Raw genomic sequence first — 8141 nt, 5'->3', positions numbered from 1 at the left:
GTAAGGATGTTTGACAATAGATATTGTAAATATGTAATTATATTTTTTCACCTTTTAATTACAAATAAAATTTGATTTGTCAACAAGTACATATTGATAGAGAGCAGAGGGGGAGAGCTGGAAGTTAGGGGAAAGGGAATGGCATTTATTGAACACTTCCGTGTGCTGTGTGTCAGGTTCTATGATACAATCACCCGTAATATAGGAGTCACAATTTCTGCTTATATATGATGAAATCAGTTCTTAAAGAGTTATTAATTAAGTTTAATTATATTTTGTAAGTCATAGAATCTCAAGGGTATGACTGATCTTAAAAGTCATTTGAATAACTCATCTACTGGACATAAAGGCTAAATGTGAAGGTTTCTGAATACTTTAACATATGAAATCAAGAGTGAATGTTAGGATTTTAAAAGTATGTCATCAAGAAATATGGGGAAAAAATAGCCCAGAGAGAGATATTTGGTAATATGTTATACAGGTTATACAGTGTAACTGTTTGCTTCATGGTGTTGAGTTTTATTTTTATTTTATTTTTCAATTATGGCAGAGATAGAAGTTTAATTCTTTAGATATGATTATTAACTAATAAAACATTTTGAAATATTTTATATCAATTTATATTATTATAAATCTGATTATTTCCAACTATTGCATATTTTTTAGAATCACCATAGTTAACTAGAATGATTCCCAGTTGTACTAATTAGCATAAAAAGCTAATTAATTATCTCATTAAACTGCATGCCATTAGCCTTGATTTTACTGCACATTTGATGTATTATCTCTTGGTCTTTAAAAATATAGAAAATAATAGTTTAGTCTTTCAATAATTGATTTTAAATTGGCGTTTTTCAAAAAAACTTTTGTAATCTCAGGAATTAATAATTAACGCGACAAATTTATTTCCAATCAATGAAATAAATACACTTTAAAATAATAAAATACCATGTTTTACTCACCATATTATAAATGATGAAAGCTACTGAGATTGTTTAACATCAATAACATTGTATTGGTTTTATTGATAGCATTACATTGGTAATGTTGTTTTGACACAGTACTCATGCAAGTTTAAATTGACACCTCATTTTGGACGGCAGTTTTATATATGGGAACTTTATAATGCGCTTGCCTCTCTTTTCACCTAATAATGCCTTCTTTGAGACTTCAATTTTAAGAAACCTGTTAGAAATGCAGACAGATTTATCCACAAAAGTAGACACTGGAGTATTATTATTGGAAATTACTTTCGGTACAGTGCTTAGGTAAATCATGGTTATTCCATAAGCTGAAGTATATATAGTCTTAAAAATTATGCTGTTGAAGAATTTCTTAATGACATGGAAATGCTTAGGTTATTATAGAGAGGTAAATACTTTATAGTATATTATATATACATCCATACATTATCTGTTTATCGATAGATAAAATCTCAAATTTTTTTGAAAAGAAACATGCTAAAATGTTAAAAATAGGGGTAGGTTTAGGTACTGGTTTAAATATCTCTGTAAATACCTGTTTTTATATAATGAGGCATTGTTACTTTCATAATCAGAAAAAGAATAGAAAACAAAGTTTTTACCTATAGTTAGCAGCTTTATTTTGGTGGGGCCATGCTTGATTTGCTATTCTTAGACATTCTAAGACATCTTTAGAGTCAATATTTCCTATTCTCTGGCTATTAAGTTTCTTTCATGTGAAATTCGCATCAAGTTTAGAGTATGATGCTCTCTTGATCAAGTAACATATCCTTAGTGAATGGGTGCTATTTTTTTGAGACTTCAGCTATACCCTCTTCTCCAGTACCTCTTCTAGGCTCTTTTGGACATATCTTCTGGGTTACCTTCTATAAGCTGTATAATATTTAGTGGTTACTGTAACCCAGAGATGGGTTACTTATGACTATCAATTATTGTTAAAGATACTACAAATGGGAATTTTTTTTTCTCCAAGTCATACTACTTAAATTTGATTTCAAATATCTATAATTACCTCGTTAGTAGATAGAAACAATATCCTTAGATGAGCTACAAATACCAAATTAGGAATTTCCCCTGAATTTTGCTTCTGCAGAAATACTTAACAATAACTTATTTTTCTTTAGTTCTAGTGAAATAGTGAAGTGTGCTTCTTAGCATGAACTGAAATGTTAATTTGTTCAACTTTTCATTAACACACATTTCTACCATAAGAAACTTCAGTAAAACTAGATTTAAAAAATTTGAAAGACATATTTTTACAAAAACATATTTTAATCTTTAAAATGTTTATGGTATACCTGTGGTTAAATAACATATGCATGGTTTTAAATTTTTGATTCTTCTATGTTTAAACTCTTTTCAGTGTCTAGATAAATCTTTATTTTTTAAAGCTCTTCATTGAAGATTATTCAAATCTTTTTCTAAGACATTTGACTTTACATATGTTCATTTTACAGACTATTTTAATTCAGTGATTCCCATCTAATTGGTCAACCACCAGTATGATGGTAAAAGTTACCCAAAGAGTCTAATATGCACCCCAGTTTGGGGATCACGTTTTAAAATGAATCTTGGATATTTAAAAATGATTTATTTAGTATATTTTATAACATTCTAATTTTTAATTTAATGATATGTTTTGGCCAATTTTAATTTACTTTATCCTAAAAGAAAGCTATCTATATGCACATTTATTCAGGATTCATTTTAATGTTCACTTACTTAAAGAGTTTATTTACCATTATCACATTTATACTGATATTTGCATAGTTTTCCCCAAAGTCTGTAACTTTGAGTTCAGATCTGAACTTAAGGTTTGTACTTTTAGTTGCCTTTATGGATGTTTATGAACAACTATGAATAACATTTTCAAGTCAATAATTTAAAAACTCATAATTCTCATATACCACTTCACTCAAATTTATTCTGTTTCCAAAATACCTTATGTCTGTCATTAATATAACACTCTCCCCTATATGGTTCTTCAGACTTGAAATCTTGGAATCAGATTACTTAATATTCTTGGCTTCTCCTAGTCTGTCATCTGGTATCTTGTTCTTTTTCCGTTAAGATTTCTTTTGATTCTGTCCTCTCTCCTCTTGCCAGTCCACATCTTATCTAGCCTTTCTTTACCTGTGGCTGATATGCACCCAGCACTTACAGATATGATTATACTGGTTGCTAAAATATTAAAATGCTTTTGTACAGGTTTGAGAAAGAGACTTTTCCTCAAGTCCATTGAGTACCTGTACTCCCTTCATCCCAAGAGCTTTGTGGGTACCCTGCTTAATATGCTGTCAACTGGCTAACCAGCCTGTGTCCCAGCCTGCGCATCTCAGCCTCAGTGTGCCCATGGATGTTCTCTCCCAGGCTAGGGGGGTCTCAGATTCTTCCAGGAAAGATGGTACCCTGGTGTCAGTGCTGGTACACCAGCAAATAGTACTTACATGGGCCCCTGAAGCTATGGTAGTCTCTTGCCAGCTCTCTCTTGCTATTGCTTGTGGGAACTGCAGCCTCTCTGCTGTTGCCAGTTTATAGAATTGTTAAATACGTAGCTATCACCCTATCTTTACTCCAAGCTTCATAGCTGTTATGGTAGATTAGTAGCCCCTTAGTTACTCTTTACCTCTAGCTACTTATCCTTCTGACATACTCAGCATAGTCAGATGAATCTCCCTAATTTTATCACTCCCCTAAGAGATGGAAATTTGAACCCAGTTCAAACTTTTTATCAACTCACTTTACCATGTCTGCTTAACCTGTTAATCCATACCTTTCTCAGATGAACTCAGGTTTACCTTTTCCCACAAGATGTTCTTATTTACCTTTTTATGTTTCCCTTTTCACATGTTCACATCTCTGGAGTTCTCTCTTGTGCAGTTTCAAATCAAACATTTCCTCTAAGTTATATCTCGATTATATTTCAAGTAATTCCTCCTTGAAACTTTTACTAACTTCCCAAATAAGAATGACCTTCTGTTCTTAGAATCCACATAGCAGCTTATGTCTTATAATGTATTAGTTCCCGAACTAGAAAGTTCAAGGTCATGTAGTTGATCTTTCTTCCCAACTTAGGAAACCTTTGTGCAAAGCATGCGATGTACAATGAAGATTTCTTCCAAGACAATAAAGCTAGTGGTTCTGTTATTGGGTATTTCTAGTTATTCCTTCAATTATCTAATAAAATATTTCTTGAGGCTTACTTTGGGTCAGGCACTAAGCTTGCTCTACAGCAGTGAACAAAACAGACAAGGCTCTATCCTTATAGAGCTTACAGTTGAAAGAAGACATTAAAAATGTAAGCACATATATAAGTATGTAATAATTTATATTAGATGCTGTAAAATAAAAATAATAGGACATTATAATTAAAAAGAACATCGGGTCCTTAGTTTATATTGACGATTTAGAGTAAGTGAAATTTAAACTATAGAGGAGGTAAGGAGTGGGGGCCACTCAGATAGCAGTAGAGTATGAGAGACCATTGTATATGTGCAAAGGCCCCGCAGCAGGAAAAAGTTGGCTTTTATAATATGTTCACCAAAGAACTGAAAGAAGGCCTGTGAGCCTGCTATGGAGGGAGATGGAGTGGCTCATGATGTATCTGGAGAGGTGAGAAGGAGCCATGTAATATACTTTATTTTTTTGAGGATTTGGGGAAGAATTTTGGATTTTTATCCTAAAAGCAACAAACAACTATTGAAATAGTGTTGAACACTGACTTGGTAGAATTTGATTTATGATTTTTTTAGGTGTTGGGTGGGGAGAAGAGCAGATATTTAAATCTAGAAGTGCTTATCTTCTGTATTACTTGAATAACTTTCTTAGTTTAGCAAATATAGAGCAGGTACACAATCATTGTCATAGAGCAGAAAACTTTCTGACTTCATTAATAGAAGTCTGCCACTCCCTGAGAATGCACTTGTATTCTGCTCTGTAAAGCTGGTTCCTGGGGAGGAGATCAGTTTACACAAGATGTCCAGCGCCTTCTGGGAGAGAAAGAACTAATACCTAGTCTCTGCTGACATAGAGCTGTGTGGCACTGACTCAATCCCAGTCTCTGGAAAGGGCAATGAGATTCCTGAAATGAAGTTACATTGAGGACAGAAAGGGGTACCCCACCTGGCAACCAACATTCAAGAGAAACCCTTTTGAACTCATGGGGCTGATGATAGAAAATTTTGTATATGCTGTCATCAGTGTAGTTAGTACCTTAGGGAAGAACAGCTGGTAATGGTAGTTGCAAACACAGAAGTAGAGCACCCTTGACTGAGCTGGGCACCAAAGGAAACAGGATCATCACTGTGGCTCGAACAGGGCGGTGGGATGGTACCATCACAGGGGGGACTAACATTGTTGGGTGATAAAAGACCAGTAGCCTTGTGAATAGCAGATTAATTATGGTTTACCAACTCTCTGCGTGGCATGGTATGTAGACTGAAGTTCTGGGGCAAGTGAGAACTCTAGCCAGCTATATTTGAAGTAAAAATTTAAATATGACCATAACTGTACATTGAAATGGTAGAGGAGGTTATTATGGTTACAGTTTATAAAAGATAGCTTATAGGCCAGGCACAGTGGCTCACACTGTAATCTCAGCATTTTGGGAGGCCAAGGCAGGAGAACTGCTTTAGTCTCAAAGTTCAAAACTAGTCTGGGCAACATAGGGAGATCTCATCTCTACAAAATAATTATTTTAAATTAGCTAGGTGTGGTGGTGTGCATATGTGGTTCCAGCGACTCAGGAGACTGAGGAGGGAAGATCACTTAAGCCCAGGAAGTCGATGCTGCAGTGAGCCTTGATTGTGCTACTGCACTCCAGCCTGGGCAACAGAGTGAGACCCTGTCTCAAAAATAGTATGTGCATGTATACAAATACTAGTATAATAAATAAAATAGATAAATTAATAAAAATATAATAAACAAAAAATAATAAGTAAATAAATTAAATAAAAATAGTATGAGTACACACACACATACACACACACACACGCACACACACACACACAGCTTATACTCTCTTTCACAGAATGGATTGGAAAATGTAAGGGAAGAAATGGGGAAGCTAGTGGCCATGGAGAGGACCAGCAATAATTAAGTAAAATATATTAGCACTAGAGTGACAGTTACACAGAGAAATAGAATATTCTTTCTTTTATTAAATTTTCACATCTTTTCTGCATAAGCTACTTTGATCCCACATCTTTCATAAATCCAGCCTTGATCTCATATCTACCTTTCCCTGTTGTTTTTCTCTTGGTTAACATCTCTAATTCCTTTCTTCTTCAGACGGATGATTTCTGGAATCAAAACTCAGCCATTGAGGGGATCAGGTATCCTTGTCAGCTGTGTGTCATGCACAGGTTTGATAAACATGCCTTGCAAGTTTCTTTTCAATCTTGTGAAAATAGCCCTATGGCACACAACCTGAGATCTGTTTTCAAGTTAACATCTTGTCATTAATCAATACTGTTTGGGTGTGGTTGTTCAACCTGTTATGAATGTACCTCTCATATTATTTCCTACATATTTCTCCATTTCGACCTCAAGAACATTATGAGAGCTTTCTTCAGATATGGAATTAAGTTCAGAATGAACAAAGTCCACATTTTTAAACTACCAGTTTAATAATTCCATCAACAATAAAAATATTATTTTTAGTGAACCCATATTGGATCATACTTTTTAAAAAGTTGTTACACAAACACTTACCTTCCAATTTTAATTGGTTCATTGTAAGCATATTTATCTTAGATTGACAAAATTCACATCCTTTGCCTTTAAAAATCGTAAAATTAGCCCGTCTCTGGTCCTCTGGCACCTTTCCTTTCCTCTGAAGGACTTCAAAATGTTCTTGCTGTAGTGTCCCAATCACTTCTGCATCTCCTTTCTGGTTCCTAAAATATATCTCATCTGAGCCTGTATTAATTTCCTTGGTTTGCTGTAACGAACTACCACAGACTGGGTGGCTTAAACAACAGAAGTTTATTGCCTCACAGTTCTGGAGGCTGGAAGTCTGAGATTAAGGTGTAAGCAGTATTGGTTTCATGTGAGGGCTGTGAGGGAGAATCTGCTATGTCCCTCTCCCCTGGCTGCTGATGGCTGCTGATATTCCTTGGTGTTCCTGGCTTATATCTGCATCACCCTCATCTTTGCCTTCATGTTCACAGCATTCACCCCATATGCATGTCTCTGTCTAAACTTTCCCTTTTTGTAAGGACACCAGTCACAATAGATTAAGGGCTCACCCTACTCTAGTACGACTTCATCTTACCTTAATTCATTACATCTGCAATTTTTAAAGAAACTTAGTTTTTAAATTGGCTTGTTTTTTGGTGAAAAGAGTATGATATAAAACCATTTTATTGTATAATTGTCTTCTGTCTGTGTATAGCCAAAGCATCAAATAGAAATGTGAATGCCAAAGTAAGTGAGCCTGGAGTTAGTGACAGAAAAGACCATGTTTGTTTAGTCTCCTTTAGAAATGTTAGAGGAAAAGAAAAAAAATTGGACTTAACCTAAAGGCAGAACCAAGATGTTTACAGACCTTACCAGCCTTGACTTCTGCATAAAGACACATATACTTTAGTGAGCAGATTGAGATAGTTCTGACTCTCTACTACTGGCCGCACTGGCCTGATTCATATAAATTCACCTTCTTCACCATGTACCTGTGACCCTCTAGGAATCCACTGTCACCTCACATATGTCCAGAAACCATTCTCTCAGCTGTCACTAACACACACTGCCCACATTTCTCCCCTAGTTCCCAAATGTTTGCATCCACAGCTCAGGAGGTCCATTGGCAAAGACCCTTTGTTGTTACTTCCTATCAGGAGAAAATCAGTGCTTGAGTCAAGGATGCTTCTGGGTGTTTTGGCAGGAGGTCTCTCCCCAGCTGTGAGTGATATTGTATTGTCTGGGCCTTAAAGAAGCTCTGCTAGTGCCCAGAGTATCAGGAAGTGTCTCTTGATCAATTTCTGGTCATAATCTTTTTTCCAGAATTTCATTTCAGTTCCATCATTTTTTGGCTGTCATTCCTTTACTGTAAGCATTTAATCTCAGGCAAGGAGTCCAATGAAGAACAGATGCTAGGCTCTACTTTTTTCTCTATACTTACCTTTTACTAACCCTTCTCCCCCTTACAGAATTCTCCCA

At 35.2% G+C, this 8141-nt stretch overlaps 1 protein-coding gene across 30 annotated transcripts in view; it reads left to right on the top strand.

The window, feature by feature from the left end:
• IKZF2 (IKAROS family zinc finger 2) overlaps positions 1-8141 on the top strand; it is a 152759-nt gene that overhangs the window by 54580 nt on the left and 90038 nt on the right. The gene's annotated exons all lie outside the window — the stretch shown is intronic.

Source organism: Homo sapiens, chromosome 2 (assembly GCF_000001405.40).
Source record: "Homo sapiens chromosome 2, GRCh38.p14 Primary Assembly".
In the NCBI taxonomy this organism is placed as follows: Eukaryota; Metazoa; Chordata; class Mammalia; order Primates; family Hominidae; genus Homo; species Homo sapiens.
This window is presented reverse-complemented; position numbering and strand designations above follow the sequence as displayed.